Source organism: Homo sapiens, chromosome 18 (assembly GCF_000001405.40).
Source record: "Homo sapiens chromosome 18, GRCh38.p14 Primary Assembly".
In the NCBI taxonomy this organism is placed as follows: domain Eukaryota; kingdom Metazoa; phylum Chordata; class Mammalia; order Primates; family Hominidae; genus Homo; species Homo sapiens.
In genome coordinates, this window is record NC_000018.10 from 35,711,889 (window position 1) to 35,732,711 (window position 20,823).

Below are 20,823 nucleotides of genomic sequence, written 5' to 3' on the forward strand. Positions count from 1 at the left end.
ATTACTTGTAATTAGGCAGATGCTTATCACTCTATTATAACTCAAATTGGGAAGAAAAGAATGAAAAAGAAAACAATGGCTGGGTACTGGCTCATACCTGTAATTTTAGCATTTTGGGAAGGTGAGACGATAGGACCACTTGAGGGCAGGAGTTTGAGGTTGCAGTGAGCTATGATGGTGCCACTGCACTCCAGCCTGGGCAACAGAGAAGAAACCATGTATCTTAAAAAAAAAGAAAAAATGAAGGATGAAAAAGTGGGATTATTATTTAACCAGTGAAGAATTCATAAATGTGACAATTAAGGATAATTTGAATCTCACAAATCTATTCACCCCACCCCAGTCAAGGTCTATTTTAATATATCTATCTTCATTGGCATTCTTGAGAAATAGTGCTGCCATTGAACATTGGGAATATTCATCCATTCTGCAGATGGAGGACATCGTGCAGGCCATGTCCTCATTGCTCCCATTCTACATTTAGCTGAGAAACAGAGGTTCCTCTTTGTAAGGATTTGATGCTCTTCTCATCTTCCAAGAAGTATACCAAGAGCAAATTTAACTCTATAGTTACCTGTTCTTCAAAGAAAAAAGAAACTTAGAAGGTAGTGTTTCTGAGGTCATAACTGTGAGGGGTTGTATACAAAGAATGAGTCACTTTTTAAGCCATTTGGAAAATTAGATCTGTTTCTAATTAGATGACATTTTCTCCATTCTCTGATTTCCTGAAGATTGCCAAGCATTTGCTTGATAATCTACCAGGACTGATAATTTTGCAGAATATGAGGCAAATATATGAAATTCAGTTGTGTATCTATATCCTAGCAACAAACACTTGAAAATATAACGTTAAAATATGCCATTTGTAATAGCATCAAATAAGTCAAACTTCTAAGTAGGAAGAAAGTTAACAACAAGACCTCTACTCTGAAAACTACAAAACAGTGCTGGGAAGAATTATAGAGCACCAAAATAAATGGCTATTCTATGCTCATGGATTGAAAGACTGCATAATGGTAAGATGTCAGTTCCCCACAAATTGTTATCTAGATTCAATGAGATCAAAATCCCACAAGGCCATCTTGTAGAAATTGGCAAATACATATATGAAAATGCAACAGATTCTAAGTAGCCAAGATAATTTTGAAGAAGAAAAATAAAATTGGAGCACTTGTACTACCCAATGTCAAGACTTGCTCTAAAGCTACAACAGTTAAGAGAGTATGGTACTAGAGTTAGGATAAACAACAAATAGAAATAGACATGTCCAGAAATAGACCCACATGTATATGGTTATTGGCTTTTCAACAAAAACAAGCTATTCAATAGAAAAAGGGAAGATTTTTCAGTTGGAGTTGAAGTAACTGGATGTCTGGGAAAAAGCAATGTTAATAATGCCTTCTTCATACCATGCACAGTTTATTCAAAATGGATTATAGAACTAAATGTGAATGGCAAAACAATAAATCTTGTAAAAGGAAACCGACTATCTTCATGACATTGGGGTAGACAAGGATATCTTAGGCGAAGACATCTCAGGAAGGTTAAACAAAAAAACTGACAGATTTCATCAAAATTAGATACTTCTCATCAAAAAGATACTTTTAAAGTGAAAAGGCAAGCCACGGCCTAAGAGAAAATAATCACAATACACGGAACCAAAGGAAAGCAAAGAACATTTTAAAACCATTGTAACAGCAACCCAGTTTAACAATGAGTGAGTTGAATACATACTTCACAGAAGCTCTCCAGATGCAGGAGTAGCATAGGAAATGGCACTCAAACATCAGCCATCAGGGAATGTAGAATGAAACCACAAGGAAATACCACTGCATACCCGCCAAATGGTGAGAATGTGGAACTGATAGAAATCCAAGATGGTTTAATCACCTCAGGAAACAGTTTGCCGGTTGCTTATAAAGATAAACATAATGCCTACCCTGTGACTTAGTGACTCCACTTCTAAAGATCTACCCAAGATAAATGAGGGTATGTTTTTACAATAAGACTTGTACAAGAATAGCAATTTTATTTATAATATTCCCAATCTGAAAACTACCCAAATATCCACCAACAAGCTAATAGATAATCAAGTAATGGTATGTTTATACATTGGATACTAGTCTGCAATTGAAAGAATGGGCTGGGCTTAATAGCTAACACCTGTGATCCTAACAATTTGGGAGGCCAAGGCAGGATCACTTGAGCCCAGGAGTTCAAGACTATCCTGGGCAAGATGGCAAGACACCATCTCGACAGAAAAATTTAAAAATCAGCTGGGCATGGTGGTAGGCGCCTGTAGTCCCACCTACTCAGCAGGCTGAAGTGGGAGGATCCCTTGAGCCCAAGAGTTCAAGGCTGCAGTGAGTTGTGATCATGCCACTGCTCTCCAGCCTAAGTGACAGATTGAGACCTTGTCTCTAAAAATAATAATGATATACTGGCAAAACAATGTAGATAAATCTTAAAAACGAACAAAAAAAGCTAGACATATTCCATTTATAAAGCTCAAAAACAAATATGGAATGGTTATCTTTGGGGGTAAGTATAGACTGAAGAAGAGCATAGGAGAACTTTCTGGAATGATGGAATGTTCTATATCTCAATTGCAGTAGTGGTAACATACACATATATATGTATGTGTGTATATATTTTAAAATATAGTGAGCTGTATACTTGGGATATATGCATTTTACTGTATGTAAATTATGCCTCAGTAAAGTGCTGGGGAAAGTGATGAAGGTATTCACCCTGCTGGCATCAAGGTTTTCTGAAAAGTCCTGCACTGCTACAAAACACCCAAAGGCTGAATAAGTTACCGCAAATGTACTTCAAAGTGGAATGCTGAACTCAGCAGAAAATATGGAAAATTCCTAAATGCCAGATTTGAAAAATGATAAACATGAACTTGGGTGATAATTGTAACTCTTATATATGAAAGCCCTTCCTCTTCTAAGAACAAAGTATAATGCCTAGAGTTTGGGGAACGGGAGCTTAGGCCTTGGGCCTGAACAAAGTTGGGGAATTAAACCAAAGATAACAGCTGGGTATGGTGGCTCACGCTTGTAATTCCAGCAGTTTGGGAGGCCGAGGTGTGTAGATCACCCGAGGTCAGGAGTTCGAACTTCACATGGCCAACATGGTGAAACCCCATTTCTACTAAAAATGCAAAAATTAGCTGGGCGTGGTGGCGCACGCCCATAATCCCAGCTACTCAGGAGGCTGAGACAGGAGAATCGCTTGAACCCGGGAGGCAGAGGTTGTAGGCAGAGGTTGCAGTGAGTCGAGACCACACCACTACACTCCAGCCTGGGCGAAAGAGTGAGACTCTGTCTCAACAAAAACAACCAGCCAAAAATCCCTGCATCTTCAGTTGGAATATTAACAGGTGTTAACACCTACAAGTGAAGGGTGGATAGGGAAGTCAGCCTCTTGAAAAGGAAACCAAAGGGTAATCTGACTGACTTTGCCCCTTTTCCAGGTAGTAAATGAGATGATGGTGCTGCCTCTGTAATCATAGGCCTCCTTTCACAGAGATCAGGGATTTAATGCCACATTCATGAAGTCTGCAGATCAAGAAAATAAAGTGAATCTTAGATTTATACCACTTCCTGAAAACCATCAGAATAAAACAAGTCTTGGCAGGGCACATGGCTCACACCTTTAATCCCAGCACTTCGGGAGGCCAAGGTGAGTGGATCACTTGTGGCCAGGGTTTGAGACCAGCCTGGCTAACATGGCGAAATCCCATCTCTACTAAAATACAAAAATTATCCAGTGTGGTGGCGCCCACCTGTAGTCCTATCTACTTGGGGGGCTGAGGCATGAGAATTACTTGAATCTGGGAGGCGGAGGTTGCAGTGAGCCGAGGTCGCGACACTGCACTCCAGCCTGGACAAAAGAGCGAGACTCTCTAAAAAAAAAAAAAGAATAAAGTCCTTTGGGGGGAAAAAAAAAAAAACCTGTCAATCCCCACCCCCATACTCCCACTAACTAAATTCAGATACGAAATTACTATCAAAAAGAGTAAGTAAGCCATCATGTGTGAATATTAAAAAAATTAATTCTAGCTTCTGGCAGTGCGAGACTAGCTTGTATCAGACTAAAGCTTAGTAACTTAATAATTTGGAACAAAATATTATTTAAAGAGTGATGCCCCAGGTGAGTGAACAGAAACTGTAGGGCATTTGACCCCTGTTAAAAAGGTGTGTTCACTGGATAGGATCTCAGCTTTTCCCCAGAGAGCATCCACCATGCACTCAGCACACTGAAGGTAGAGTTCATGCAGATGGTGACGAATAATATTAGGCTGAGGAGTCAGATCTTATTTGAGAGCAAACAGAGGCTGGAAATTGAGGAAGGAAATCCTAGACTGCAAGGAGTCAGAAAAAGAAGTCCCCAAATCTACATACAAACTTCCCTCAGATGGTTGGCTGATTAAATAGTGTGCACAGGATGAAACTCCAGGAAGGTCAGAGAAAAACAACCACCGGAAGGCAGAAAGATCTAAGCAGCAGTCTCAGCAGTTGCCCAGCACCACAAACACAGAGGTCGAAGTTCAAATTTGGAGGGGCTTGGTAAACACTGTTAACTTTATGGTGAGATCCAAGAAGGGCATGTGTAGAAATTAAGACCATTTCTAAGACCTTAGGGCTGTTTCTAGAGCCAACTACAAAATGGAAATTGACCACATCTAATAAAGTGGCTATTTTATTGATTATTTTTGAAAATAGTCAATAAAAAGCAGACCCACTAGTGACCTAGATGTTGGAATTGGCAGACAAATTCTTCAAAATAAGTATCAGTGTTTTAAAAATGTATACAGAGAAATGTGGATATAATAAGTATAATAATGGGAAGTTTCAGAAGAGGTCTGAAAACGGGGAAAAAAATCCTAAAACCAAAAAAGTATCTAAAATCAAAAACTCATTGGGATTTACAGCAAATTGGACACACACAAGAAAGGATCAGTGAACTTGAGCACAGGTCAATAAAAAATGTCCAAACTGAACCACAGAGAAAAAAGATAAAGGGATTAAAAAAAAAAAAACAGCCTTGATGATCAAATACATGCATTGACCTGGAAGGAGAGAAGATAGAGAGTGGAGGCTCTGAAGGAGACTCTTATTTTCTCCATTCTGTGGTTGCTGGTAATTCTTGGCTTGTCAGATGCCTCACTCCAATCTCTGCCATTGTCTTCACTTGGCATTACTCTCTGCATGTTTTTGTGTCTTTCTTCTCTGCCTCCTCTTATAAGGACACTAGTTACATTGAATTTATAGCCCACTTTAATCCATTATGACCTTATCTTAACTGGATCTGCATAGACTCCGCAGTGAGTCGAATTGTGTCCACAGGTAAGAAAGACATGTTTAGTCCTACCCACTAATACGTCAGAATGTGACATTATTTGGAAGTCGGGTCTTTACAGAGGTAAGCAAATTAAAATGAGATCATTACGGTGAACCCTAGCCCAGTATGACTGATGGCCTTATTAAAAGGGGAAATGACACAGACACATAGAGAAGGAAGATGATGTGCAGATACAGAGAAACACCATCCACAAACCAAAGGGTGTCTGAATCTACCACAACCTAGGAGAGGCATGAAGCAGATAACCCCTCACAATCCTCAGAAAGAACCAACCCTGCCAACACCTTGATTTTAGGCATCTAACCTCCAAAACAGTCAAAAATTATTGTGGTTTAAACCACTCAATTTATAGTACTTTGTTACAACAGCCCCAGGAAATTAATATAAATCATATTTCTAAATTGAGTCTCATGCTGATATTCTGAATAGATGAAATTCGGATACACTATTCAACCTAATACATCTACTAAACGTTTAAAGAAGAATTAACAACAATCATTCACAAACTCTTACAAAAAGAAGAGGGAACATTTCTCAATTTATTCTATGAAGCCAGCATTAGCCTGATACCAAAGCCAGACAGACATAACAAGGGAAAACAAAACAAGCTGAAGACCAATATTTCTGATGAATATACAGGTATACCCTCATCTTATTGTACTTTGCAGATACTGTGTTTTTTTAATAAATTGAAGGTTTGTGGCAACCCAGCATCAAGCAAGTCTCACAGTGCCATTTTTCCAACATTGTGTGCTAATTTCATGTCTCTGTGTCACATTTTGGTAATTCTTGCAATATTTCAAACTTTTTTATTATTAGAATATCTGTTACAGGGTTCAGTGGTATTTGATGATACTATTGTAATTGTTTGGGGGCATCACAGACTACACCCGTATGAGAGGATGAACTTAAATGATAAATTGTGTGTGTGTGCATGCATGTGTGCGTGCATGTGGACTGTTACACTCATTGGTCCTTCTGCTGTCTCTCTCCCTCTCCTCAGCCCTCTTTATTCCCTGGGACACAGAAATTTTTAAATAAGGCCAATTAATAATCCTACATTGGTCTCTTACGTGTTAGAGTGAAAAGAAGATTCACATATCTCTCATTTTAAATTGAAAGCTAGAAATGATTAAGCTTAGTGAGGAAGCCATGTTGAAAGCTGAGATAGTCCAAAAACTAGGCCTCTTGCACCAGTTAGCCAAGTTGTGAATGCAAAAGAAAAGTGCCTGGAGGATATTTAAAATGCTGCTCCAGTGAACACACAAACGATAGGAAAGCAAAATAGCCTTATTGCTGATATGGAGAAAGTTTTAATGGTCTGGATAGAAGATCAAACCAACTGCAACATTTCCTTAAGCAAAATCCTAATTCAGAACACAGCCATAGCTGTCTCCAATTCTATGAAGACAGAGCAGAGAGGAAGCTGTGGAAGTAAAGTTTGAAAATAAGAGGTTGTTCATGAGGTATAAGGAAAGAAGACATCTCCATAACATAAAAGTGTAAGGTGAAACATCAAGTGCGAATACAGAAGCTGCAGCAAGTTATCCAGAAAATCTAAGATCATTGAAGAAGGTGGCTACACTAAACAATAGATTTTCAATATAGACAAAAGAGCCTTCTGTTGATTTTAGGCATCTAGCCTAAAATGGAAGAAGATGCCATCTAGGACTTTAATGGGTAGAGAGGAGAAGTTGATACCTGTCTTCAAAGTAAAGACTGACTCTTTTGTTAGGGGCTGTTGCAGCTGGTGACATTAAGTTGAAGCCAATGCTCATTCACCATTCCAGAAATCCTTGTGCCCTTAAGAATTATGCTAAATCTACTCTGACTGTGTTCTACAAGTAGAACAACAAAGCCTGGATGACAGCATATCTGTTTATAGCATGGTTTACTAAATATTTTAAGCCCACTGTTGAGACCTACTGCTCAGAAAAAAAGATTCCTTTCAAAACATTACTGCTCATTGACAGTGCACCTAGTTACCCAAGAGCTCTGATGGAGATGTAAAACAAGATTAATATTTTCATGCCTGCTAACACAGCATTCATTCTGCAGCCCATGACCAAGGATTAATTCAGACTTTCAAGTCTTATTATTTAAGAAATAAGATTTAATAAGGCTATAGCTGTCATGGATAGTGATTTCTCTGATAGACCTGGGCAAAGTAAATTGAAAACCTTCTGAAAAGGATCCACCATTCTAAATTCCATTAAGAACATTCATGATTCATGAGAGGGGGTCAAATACCAACACGAACAGGAGTTTGGAAGAAGTTGATTCCAACCTTCATGGGTGACTTTGAGGGATCCAAAACTTCAGTAGAGGAAATACCTGCAGATGTAGAAATAGCAAGAGAACTAGAATTATCCTGAAGATGTGTCTGAATACTTCAATCTCATCATAAAACTTGAATTGATGAAGAGTTGCTTCTTATGGATGAGCAAAGAAAATGTTTTCTTGAGATGAAATCCTCGTGGTGAAAATGCTGTGAACATAGTAGAAATGACAACAAAAGATTTGTAATATTCCATAAAGTTAGTTGATAAAGCAGAGGGAAGGTTTAAGAAAACCCCAATTTTGAAAGAACTTCTGCTGTGGGTAAGATGCTATCATATAGCATCAGAAAAATCTTCTGTGAAAGGAAGGCTCAATCAATGTAGCAAATTTCATTGTCTTATTTTAAGAAATTTCTACAACCACCCAACCTTCAGCAACCACCACCTTGAACAGTCAACAGCCATCAACATTGAGGCAAGACTCTCCACTAACAAAAAGATTGGGACTCATTAAAGACTCAGGTGAACATTAGCATTTTTTGGCAGTAAAGTATTTTTAATTAAGAATATACATTGTTTTGTTTTTAGACATAATGGTATTGCACACTTAGGCTACAGTATAGTGTAAACATAACTTTTATATGCACTGGGAAACAAAAAATTGTGTGACTCACTTTATTAATGCAATATTCACTTTACTGCTGTTGTGTGGAACTGAACCTGCAATATCTCTGAGGTGTGCCTGTAGATGCAAATAGCCTCTACAGGATACTAGTAAACCAAATGCAGCAGCATATTAAAAGGATTATACACCATGATGAAGTGGTATTTATCCTATGGATGCAAAGTTGTTTTAACATTTGAAAATCAATCCATGTGATACACCATGTTAATAGAATAAAGAACAAAAGCCACATGATCATCTTAATAAAGAACAGGAAATCCAACATGCTTTTACGGTTAAAACAAACAAAACCGGGACTAAAAGGGAATGTCCTCGATTTGATAATGGGCCCCAATGAAAAGTCCACAGCTATCATCATATTTAATGGTGAAAGACTGGATGCTTTTCCCCTAAGATCAGGAACATGACAAGGATGTCTATTCTTGCCACATCTATTCAACATTGTACTGAAAGTTCTAGCCAGAACAACTAGTCAAGAAAATGCACCCAGATTGAAGAGGAAGAAATAAAACTGTTTTTGCAGATGACATCATTTTGTATCTAGAAAATTTCAGGGAACCCGCTAAAAAACTATGAGAACTAATAAATGAGTTCAGCAAGGTTGCAGGACAAAAGATCAAATACAAAACTCAGTTGTATTTACATACACCATCAATGAACAGTTCAAAACTGAAAATTTTTTAAATTCCATTTAAAATAGTGTCAAAATATTTAGGAATAAATGTAATTAAAAAGTGCAAGAGAGGGACAAATGGCCAACTAGATGCAGCCAGGAAGAGCATCTTCCACCAAGAGAGACCAAAATATAGAGTAAACCATCATACTTTGAACAGATCTTTGGGGAGAAAGCACTGAGAGTCAATGGAGAGATGATGCAGACACCAGGGCTGAAGAGAGAGGAAGCTGGGAACCCTGCATGGGGTTGCCAAGCTCTGAAACTTATTCCTGGCCCTGAACAACTCCTAAGAAAGGGATGGATGAAGTAACTGCAGACCAGCCCATTCTCATTACAGATCTCCAAGATCCTAGCTGCAGGAGACCCTATAACCCCATGGACATATGAGTTGGCAGGGAGAACTACCTGGAGAGTCAGCAGAGATAGAGTTTGAGCCTCTGTGGAACCCAGTGGGGGTTGCATGGGGACAGCTGTAACAAAACACGGCCATAGGTGCTCATCCCGGGCTCTACATATTTCTCTATGAGGCTGTAACCTTTGTTGACTACTGAACCTGGAGAGAGCAGGGCTGTCTTTCCTGCATGACCAGGGCATAGCTGACCTGTGCACCCACCTGTCCACTGACTGATCCCAGAATCCCTTTTTGGCCACTCCCATAGGAGCGGGCACAAAGCACAGCCTACACTGCCCCAGTAGAGTGCTTTTGCTAGCAACTACCGCTAGAGCATTTTTGTTGGCGTCCTGGGAGGACCTTGAGCACCCCCAGCCCCTGCATGGCTGGTGCTCAACCTTGAGGGGCCAGAGGACAAAGCCATGGACCCAGTCCTAACCTCCCAGGGTTAGAGCATGCAGCCCAGGAGTACTGAGCTGAGATCTGTGGCTGGAACTTAAGTGAAGGAAGAACCCTCTCTCTCAAAGTGCTGGGAAGAGTGAGGCATGGGTTCGTGGGCTGACACAGGAGCTGGGTGTGCCTGCTTCTGCTGGGCCAGTCTGGGAGGGATGTAGACTCTCTGGCAGCCACAGCCTCTCCCCGGGGGGCCTCATGGCCCTGAATGCCTAACAGCCCAGCAATCTGGGTGCAGAAGGCTTGGGACAAAAGCTGGTCAGGCCAAATTCTGGGACGCTCATCAGGAGACCCTATTGAGGGTGGAGCTGGGCAGGTCCCACAGCTGACTGCTGGCAAAAAACCCAAGGCATGGGCACCCCACCAGCTGCATACCCACAACAACACTGCCCTGCCCACAGATGCCCCGCCCTTGACCTACTGCATCAACAGACCACCTACAGATATACCCCACAACCTGCTCTGACTCTGCCAAGCACAGAGGACCTTGGTGGGCCTCCAGAGAGCTGTGGGTCTCCTGGTGACCTAATCTTTGGCTTGGACCACCTCAAAGGGAGGGAGGAGCACAGCTCACCAGAGCCGCCTTTGAGGCTAAGGAAAGGCAGGCACGGCACCAGTGATTGGAGGGGGCTCCTTTAAGACCCAGGAATGGACTTGGTGAGGGGATCATCTCTCTCCCAACCCTGTCTGCCCCACGACAGAGCACTGCTGCCAATGCATTGAAATACACTGAGAGGCACATGGCTCAGCTAGAGTCTATCTACAAGCCCTTACTGTTTTTGTTCTTCTTCTTATTATTATACCTTTTAAGTTCCAGGGTACATGTGCACAACGTGCAGGTTTGTTACATATGTATACACGTGCCATGTTGTTGTGCTGCACCCATCAACTCGTCATTTACATTAGGCATTTCTCCTAATGCTATCCCCTCTTCCCCCCACCCCACGACAGGCCCCGGTGTGTGATGTTCCCCACCCTGGGTCCAAGTGTTCTCATTGTTCAATTCCCACCTATGAATGAGAACACTCAGTGTTTGATTTTCTGTCCTTGCGATAGTTTGCTCAGAATGATGGTTTCTAGCTTCATCCATGTCCCTACAAAGGACATGAACTCATCCTTTTTTATGGCTGCATATTATTCCATGGTGTATATGTGCCACGTTTTCTTAATCCAGTCTATCATTGATCGACATTTGGGTTGGTTCCAAGTCTTTGCTATTGTGAATAGTGCCACAATAAACATACGTGTGCATGTGTCTTTATAGCAGCATGATTTATGATCCTTTAGGTATATACCCAGTAATGGGATCGCTGGGTCAAATGGTATTTCTAGTTCTAGATCCTTGAGGAATCGCTACACTGTCTTCCACAATGATAGAACTAGTTTACAGTCCCACCAACAGTGTAAAAGTCTTCCTATTTCTCCACATCCTCCCCAGCACCTATTGTTTCCTGACTTTTAATGATCACCATTCTAACTGGTGTGAGATGGTATCTCATTGTGGTTTTGATTTGCATTTCTGTGATGGCCAGTGATGATGACCTTTTTTGTGTGTGTCTGTTGGCTGCATAAATGTCTTCTTTTGAGAAGTGTCTGTTCGTATACTTCACCCACTTTTTGATGGGGTTGATTTTTTCTTGTAAATTTGTATAAGTTCTTTGTAGATTCTGGATATTAGCCCTTTGTCAGATGGGTAGATTGCAAAAATTTTCTCCCATTCTGTAGGTTGCCTGTTCACTCTGATGGTAGTTTCTTTTGCTGTGCAGAAGCTCTTTAGTTTAATTAGATCCCATTTGTCTATTTTGGCTTTTGTTACCATTGCTTTTGGTGTTTTAGACATGAAGTCCTTGCCCATGCCTATGTCCTGAATGGTATTGCCTAGGTTTTCTTCTAGGGTTTTTATGGTTTTAGGTCTAACATTTAAGTATTTAATCCTTCTTGAATTAACTTTTGTATAAGGTGTAAAGAAGGGATCCAGTTTCAGCTTTCTACATATGGCTAGCCAGTTTTCCCAGCACCATTTATTAAATAGGGAATCATTTCCCCATTTCTTGTTTTTGTCAGGTTTGTCAAAGATCAGATGGTTGTAGATGTATGGTATTATTTCTGAGGGCTCTGTTCTGTTCCATTGGTCTATATCTCTGTTTTGGTACCAGTACCATGCTGTTTTGGTTACTGTAGCCTTGTAGTATAGTTTGAAGTCAGGTAACGTGATGCCTCCAGCTTTGTTCTTTTTGCTTAGGATTGTCTTGGCAATGTGGCCTTTTTTTGGTTCCATATGAACTTTAAAGTAGTTTTTTTTTCCAATTCTGTGAAGAAAGTCATTGGTAGCTTCCTGGGGATGTACAAGCCCTTACTCTTAAGCATAATCTACTGATTGCAGCCTGAATTACACCACCAAAAAATACTTCCTGCTTTCATTGCCTGTGAAACCCAGTGCAGTGTTCTAGCAACAAATAAAAATCCTGTGAAGAGCCTTGGCCCTCTAAAAGCATCCAGAAACAAAGCCAATCAACTATACTCAACTTACACTACAGTCAAACCCTCAAGGTAAATAAAGACCATAAAAAGCCCCATCCAAATCACAGCAACTTCAAAAGATAAAGGAACACCAGCCCTCACAGATGAGAGGGAACTAGCACAAGGACTCCGGCAATTCTAAAAGCCAGAGTGTTTTCTTACCTCCAAACAATTGCACAAGCTCCCCAGAAGTGGCTGTTAACCAGATTGAAATGGCTGAAATGACAGACATAGAATTCAGAATCTAGATAGCAAGGAAGCTAAAAAAAAAAAAAGAGAGAAAGTTGAAGCTAAAAAAAAAAAAAGAAATAAAAAAGAAAAAAACAGGAGAAAGTTGAAACCCAATCCAAGGAGAACAGTAAAATAATACAAGAGTTGAAAGATGGTATAACCTTTTTAAGAAAGAACCAAAACTGAACTCCAGGAACTGAAAAATTGACTACAGGAATTTCAGAATACAATTGGAAACATTAACAACAGAATAGATGAAGCTGAGGAAAGAATCTCACAGCTCAAAGACTCCTCCTTCAAATAAACTCAGGTAGACAAAAATAAAGAAAAAATGAACCTTTAAAAATGAACAAAACCTCAGAAATATGGGATTATAAAAAGGGACCAAACTTACGACTAATTGGCACTCCTGAAAGAGAAAAAAGAATAATCAACTTGGAACACATGTTTGAGGATATTGCCCATGAAAACTTCCCTAAGCTTGCTAGAGAAGTCAACATGCAACTTCGATAAATTTAGAGAACCCCTGCGAGATACTATATAAGATGACCATCCCTGAGATACATAGTTACCAGATTCTCCAAGGTCAACACCTCAGAAAAAATCTTACAGGCAGCTATAGAGAAGGAACAGGTCACTTACAAAGGGAACCCCTTCAGGTGAACAGTGGACATTCCAGCAGAAACCTTACAAGCCAGAAGAGTTGGGACCTGCTTTCCAGCATCCTTAAAGAAAAGAAATTCCAACCAAGAATTTCATATCTTACCAAACTAAGCTTCCTAAGTGAAGGAGAAATAAAACCATTTTCAGACACACAAGTGCTAAGGGAATTCATTATCGCTAGACCTGTCTTACAAGAGGTCCTTAGGAAGTGCTAAACATGAAAATGAAAGAACAATACCTGCCACCACAAAAACACACTTAAGTACATAGTCCACAGACACTATAAAGCAACTACACAAGCAAGCCTATATAACAACCAGCTAACAACAATAACAGGATCAAATCTTCACATATCTATATTAACCTTTAATGTAAACAGACTAAATGCCCCAGTTAAAAGGCATAGAGTGGCAAGTTGGATAAAAGAAAAAGACCCAAGTGTCTGCTGTCTTTAAGAGACCCATCTCACATGTAACAACAGCCATAGGCTCAAATTAAAAGAATGGAGAAAGATCTATCATGCAAACAGAAACCAAAAAAGAGCAGGAGTTTCTATTATTACATCAGAAAAACAGACTCGAAGCCAGCAATGATAAAAAAAGGACAAAGAAGGGCATTACATAGTGATAAAGGGTTCAATTCAGCAGTACTTAACTATCATAAATATATACACACACAACATTGGAGCACCTAGATTCATAACAAGTTCTTATAGACCTATGAAGAGACTTAGCCACATAATAATAGTGGGAAACCCAAAACCTCACTGACAGCATTAGACAGATCATTGAGGCAGAAAACTAATAAATATATTCTGGAATTAAACTCAATACTTGACCAGTTGGACCTAATAGACATCTGGAGAATACTCCATCCAACAACTACAGAATATACATTCTCCTCATCTGCACATGGAACATACTCCAAGACTGACTACATGCCATAAAGCAAGTATCAATAAATTCAAAAAAATCGAAATCATACCAACCACACACTCAGACCACAGTGCAATAAAAATAGAAGTCAATACCAAGATCTCTCAAAACTACACAATTACATGGAAATTAAACAACTTGCTCCTGAATAACTTTTGGGTAAAGAATGAAACTAAGGCAGAAATCAAAAAAATCATTTAAAACTAATGGAAATAGAGATGCAACATAGTAGAATCTTTGGGATACACCTAAAGCAGCGGTAAAAGGAACGTTTATAGTGCCAAATGCCTACAACAAAAAGTTGGAAAGATCTCAAATTAACAACCTAACACCACACCTAGAGGAACTAGATAAACAAGACAAAACCAACACCAAAACTAGCAGAAGAAAAGAAATAACTAAAATCAGAGCAGAACTGAAAGAAATTTAGATGCAAAAATCCATACAAAAGATCAAGCAAACCAAAAGTTGTTTTTTTGAAAGAATAAACAAGATAGACCACTAGCTAGATTAGCAAAGAAAAAAGAAGATCCAAATAAGCACAATTGGAAATGACAAAGGTGACATTACAACTGACCCCACAGAAATAAGAAAAACTCCTCAGAGATTATTATGAACATTTCTATGTACACAACTAGAAAAATCTAGATGAAACGGATAATGTCCTGGAAACACATAACCTCCCAAGATTGAACCAGGAAGAAATTGAAACCCTGAACAGACCAATAATGAGTTCCAAAATTGAATCAGTAATAATAATAATAATAATAATAATAATAATAAGCCTTGCCAACCAAAAAAAAAAAAAAAGCCCTGGACCAGATGGATTCACAGCCTAACTCTACCAGATGCACAAAGAAGAGCTGGTACCTTTCCTACTGAAACTATTCCAAAAAAATCAAAGAAGAGGGACTCCTCCCTAACTTATTCTATGAAGCAAGCATCATTCTGATACCAAAACCTGCCAGAGAGATGATGAAGAAAAAAAACTTCTGGCCAATGTCCCTGATAAATATAGACACAAAAAATCCTCAACAAAATACTAGCTAAACGAATTCAGCAGCACATCAAAAAGTTAATTCACCACAATCAAGTAGGCTTCATTCCTGGGATGCAAGTTTGTTTTGACATATGCAATCAATAAATGTGATTCACCGCATAAACAGAATTGGAAACAAAAACAATATGATCATCTCAATAGACACAGAAAACAATTTCGATAAAATTCAACATCCCTTCAGGTTAAAAACCCTGAGCAAAATAGGCGTTGAAGAAACATACCTCAAAATAATAAGAGCCATCTATGACAAATCCACAGCCAACATCATACTAAATGGGCAAAAGCTGGAAGCATTCCTCTTGAGAACTGGAACAAGACAAGGATGCTCACTTTCACCACTCCTATTTAATATAGTACTGGAAGTCCTAGCAGAGCAATCAGGCAAGAGAAAGAAATAAAAGGCATCCAAATAGGAAAAGAAGAAGTCAAACTATCTCTTCACTGATGATATGATTGTACGCCTAGAAAACCCTAAAGACTCCACCAGAAGGCTCCTGGAACTGATAAATGACTTTGGTAAAGTTTCAGAATACAAATCAATGTACAAAAATCAGTAGCATTTCTATATACCAATAATGTTCAAGCTGAGAGCCAAATCAAGAACACAATACCATTTATAATAGCAACAAAAAGAATAAAATACCTAGGAATACAGTAACTAAGGAGATGAAAGATCTGTACAATGAGAATTACAAAACACTGCTGAAAGAAATCAGAGATGACACAAACAGAAAAACATTTCATGCTCATGGATAGGAAGAATCAATGTCATTAAAATGGCCATACTGCTCAAAGAAATCTACAGATTCAATGCTATTCCTGTCAGACTACCAATAACATTTTTCACAAATTTAGAAAATCTATTCTAAAATTCATATGGAAGCAGAATAGAGCCCGAATAGCCAAAGCAATCCTAAGCAAAAATAACACAGCTGGAAGCATCACATTATCTGACTTCAAACTATACTACAAGCCTACTGTAACCTAAACAGCCTGGTGCTGGCACAAAAACGGACACATAGACCAACAGAACAGAATAGAGGACCCAGAAATAAAGGCACACAGCTACAACCATCTGATCTTCAATAATGTTGACAAAAATAAGCAATGGGGAAAGACTTCCCATTCAATAAATGGTGTTGTGATAGATAACTGGCTAGCCATATGGAGAAGAATGAAACTGGATCCCTACCTATTACCATATACAGAAATTAACTCAAGATGGATTAAAAACTTAAATGTTAGACCTCAAACTATTAAAATCCTAGAAGAAAACCTAGGAAATACCTTTCTTGATATTGGCTTTGGCAAAAGATTTATGGCTAAGTTCTCAAAAGCAAGTGCAACAAAAACAAAAATTGACAAGTGGGACCTAACTAAAGAGCTTCAGCACAGCAAGAGAAACTATCAGCAGAATAAATAGAAAACCTACAGAATGGGAGAAAATATTCACAAACTATGCATCCAACAGAGAGGCCTGATATCCAGAATCTATAAGGAACTTAAACAATTCAGCAAGCAAAGAACAAATAACCACATTAAAAAGTGGCCAAAGGACATGAACAGACACTTCTCAAAAGAAGACATACAAGTGGCCAAGAAACATGAAAAAAAAAGCTTAACATCACTACTAATCACTAATCAGAGAAATGCAAACCAAAACCACAACGAGATACCATCTCACACCAATAACAATGGCCTTTGTTTAAAAGTCTAAAACAACAAATGCCAGTGAGGATGTGGGGAAAAGGAAACACACACTTCCAGTGGGAATGTTAATGACATGGTTTGGCTCTGTGTCCCCACCCAAATTTCATCTTGTAGTTACCATAATTTCCACATGTTGTGGGAGGGGCCCGGTGGGAGATGACTGAATTATGGGGGCGGGTCTTTCCCATGCTGTTCTTGTGATAGCAAATAAGTCTCACGAGATCTGATGGTATCATAAGGGAGTTTCCCTGCACAAGCTCTCTTTGCCTATCACCATCCACGTAAAATATGACTTGATCCTCCTTGTCTTCTGCCATGATTGTGAGGCCTCCCCAGCCATGTGTAACTGTGTATCCAATTGAACCTCTTTCTTTTGTAAATTGCCCAGTCTCGGGTATGTCTTTATCAGCAGTGTGAAAACAGACTAATAAAGTAAATTAGTCCAGCCACTGTGGAGAACAATTTGGAGATTTCTTAAGAACCAAGAGTTGAACTACCATTTGATTTAGCAATTCCATTACTGGGTATACAGTCAAAAGAAAGTAAACTGTTCTACCAAAAAAATAAGTGTACCTGTATGTTCATTGCAGCATGGTTCACAAAAGCAAAGACATGGATTCAACCCAGGTGCCTATCAACTCTGGATTGAGTAAAGAAAATATGGTACATATACACCATGGAATACTATGCAGCCATAAAAAGGAGCAAAATCAAGTCCTTTGTAGCAACATTGGATGAAGGTGGAGGCCATTATCCTAAGCAAACTACTGCAGAAACAGAAAACCAAATCTACATGTTCTCACTTATAAGTGGGAATGCACAACAAGTACACATGGACAGAAAGATGAGAGCAATAGATATTGGGAAATACAAGAGGTGAGAGGGAGGGAGGGAGGCAAGGGCTGAAAAACTATCTATTGGGTACTATGCTCACCCCCTCAGAGATAGATTCATTTACTCCAAACCTCAGCATCACACAATATACGTTTGTAACAAAATTGCATATGTACCCCTGAACCTGTAATAAAAGTTGAAGAAAAAAAAACCCAAAAAAAGTGTAAGACTTACATGCTGAGAACAAAAACATCACTGAAAGAAATTAAAGAAGATCTAAATAAACACACATTGATGAATCAAAAAGCCTAATATTAAGATGCTTGTTTTAAGTTTGTTTAATATACTTGGCATCTCAGCATCCATTTTTAGGTCTGATGTAAGTTATTTGAAACCCAGTTGTACTCCATCACCTTTGGCTTTTAAAATTTCTCCTCCCTTTGTGGTCGTTTCCAGTACAGCCTGCTTTTTCCTCATCCTACTGACTCAAAAACCCAACACAGCTCACAGCTGCTGGCTACAATAAATCCTAATGGTCAACACCAGAGTCACAAAAATAAGTTCCCCATTCAGCAGGTTTTTGTTAACTAATCAGTCTACAACTCCTGAGAGAAAGCCTAAAGGTTAATGCCTATGGAACTTAATGAAGGTATAGTACCACGAGTCCCCCTTCCCACTTTCTCCTCTCTCACCCTCCCCGCCTGCCCCCTTCTGCACTACACCTCTTGTTGGCTCCAGATGTCCCAACACCTCATAGGCACCCCTAACCTCTCTGGGACCTGTGAGTAATAAATTTCTTCTGTTTCACAAACTTTGGTTTCACTTTCTCATTGTGTCTCACCTGACAGACACACTTGAACCTAATTATCCCCCCAGTCAGGGCTCTCTTAGAGGGTGGCTATCTTAGCTTATAGCCACTGTCAAGAAAGAGACCCCAAGACCAAATTAGAAAAAATAAAACAAAACATAATAATAGAACTCACAACAATGGTACTACTCTCTGTCCTGTTTGGAGTCAGGTTCCAGCTCATGCTGAGGTCCGAAGCGAGTGGATGGACGAGCAGATAGCTGAAAGAACGCTGCGGGGGCTGTAGGCAGGTGAAAGGTTGTTTTATTCAGTAACTCTCTTAGCAGCAGCTCACTCACACTAGCTCTGTCACACTGTTCGCCTTGTCTTGGCTGCTTAGCCCGGCGGCTCCCACACACAGCTGCATGGCTGGCTCTCCCTTCAGGGTCAGCAGCTTAACTCTTTCTCTCTCTCTGTGGGTACAAGTGAGCAGAGCTGTGTTCTGGCTCCCTCCTGTCCATCTGCAAAGACGGACAGCTCTGGCTCTCTCTCTCCTTCTCTGGGCACAAGCGCACCTGTACAGTGTCAGCAGGTCAGTAATACCTTTTACAGACAATAGTGGCTTAGAGCCAAATGATGAGCCTTCTTATGTTATGGCTACATGGCTAAGATAACAAGTGGAGTTATATGCCTGTGCTGTAAACTCACTGAGTCACTCTAGATGTTTACCTCAGCCTATCCATGACCAAAGCACAGCCATGTTCTTTACACTCCCCAGATCTGAAAATTTAGTACAATCCCTATCAAAATCTCAAGTGTCTTTTTTTTTTTTTTTTTTTTTTTTGCGTAACTTGACAAGCTGATTCTAAAATCTATACGGAAAATCAATGTACACAGAAGAGTCAAAACAATTTTGAAAAAAAAGAACAACATTGGAGTACTCACACCCTAAGATTTACGGTCTTACTACAAAGCTACAATAATAGAGAAAGCCAACATTGCACTGTAGTTCCTATAGAGGGGTGAAGGGAGGGAGTGGGACATGGTGTGAGGATAGTCATATAGATCAACTGAACAGAATTCAGAGTCTAGAAATAACCTTTATATTTAGGTCAATTGATTTTCAACAAGAGTACAAAGAAAATACAATGGAATAATAGTCTTTTCAACAAATGGTGGTGGGACAACTGGGTATCTGCCTGCAAAAGGAAGGTGGACCCCTACATCACACCATATGTAAAAAGTAACTCAAAATGAATCAAAGACATAAATATAAGAGCTAAAACCATAAAACTCTTAGAAGGAAACATGCATGATCTTCATGACCTTGGATTAGACAATGACTTCATAGACATGAAACCAAAAGCACCAGCAAAAGTAGGAAACAAATAAGCTGGACTTCTCCAGAACTTAAAAGTTTTGTGGTTTTAAGGATGCAATCAAGAAAGTGAAAAGATGACTTACACAGTGGAACAAACTATTGGTTAATTATGTATTTTTTAAGAATAAACTTGGATCCAAGGCCAGCCATGGTGGTTCATACCTGTAATGCTGACACTTTGGGAGGATGAGATGGAAAGATCACTTGAGGCCAGGAATTTGAGACCAGCCTGGGCAACATAGCAAGACCCCCATCTCTACAAATTTTTCTTTTTTTAATAGCTGGGTGTGGTGGTGCGTACCTGTAGCCCAGCTACTTGAGAGGTTGAGGTGGGTGGATTGCTTGAGCCCAGGGGTTTAAGACTGCAGTGAGCTATGATTGTGCTACTGCATATCAGCCTCAGCAACAGAGCATGACACAGTCTCTAAAAAATAAGGCTGTGCAGACAGAGCAGTCCCAGGAGCCTGAGCTCCTGCCTCATAGGCTGTAAAGAACTTTTCACTTTCTGTCCTCAGTTTCAGCTTTTGCCAGATTTCAGAACAGCAGGCCAACATTGCACTGTAGCTCCTATACAGGGGTAAAGGGAGGGAGTGGGACATGGTCTCAATTCATAATTATGCCATTTAAATGACCAAAGTTAAGGGGTCAGTTGTGAGAGGAGACTGGCATTGTGGAAAGAATACAGGCTTTGAAGTCAGATAGCCACAGGTTCAAATCCAAAGATCTAGGCCTCAGTCTTGTCCTCTCTAAAATGCCTGCCTCATTGGGGAATTACAACATCTTGATAGAGATAGCATTAACAAATGATTTTTCCCTTCTGCTGTTCTCATCATTTCCTTCTGCTG

General features: G+C 39.6%; 1 long non-coding RNA gene across 3 annotated transcripts in view; it reads right to left on the bottom strand.

Annotated features, from left to right (window-relative positions):
* LOC105372064 (uncharacterized) overlaps nucleotides 1-18,968 on the bottom strand; it is a 40,781-nt gene extending 21,813 nt beyond the window's left edge. For 2 of the 3 annotated variants that reach the window (XR_935377.3, XR_001753413.2), the window contains exons 1-2: nucleotides 18,794-18,968; nucleotides 98-7,861 (exon numbers count right to left, since the gene is read on the bottom strand). This is a non-coding gene — a long non-coding RNA (uncharacterized LOC105372064). The remainder of the gene's footprint in view (nucleotides 1-97; nucleotides 7,862-18,793) is intronic. The other variant, XR_001753412.2, reaches the window with a different exon arrangement.
* Nucleotides 18,969-20,823: the final 1,855 nt, after the last annotated feature.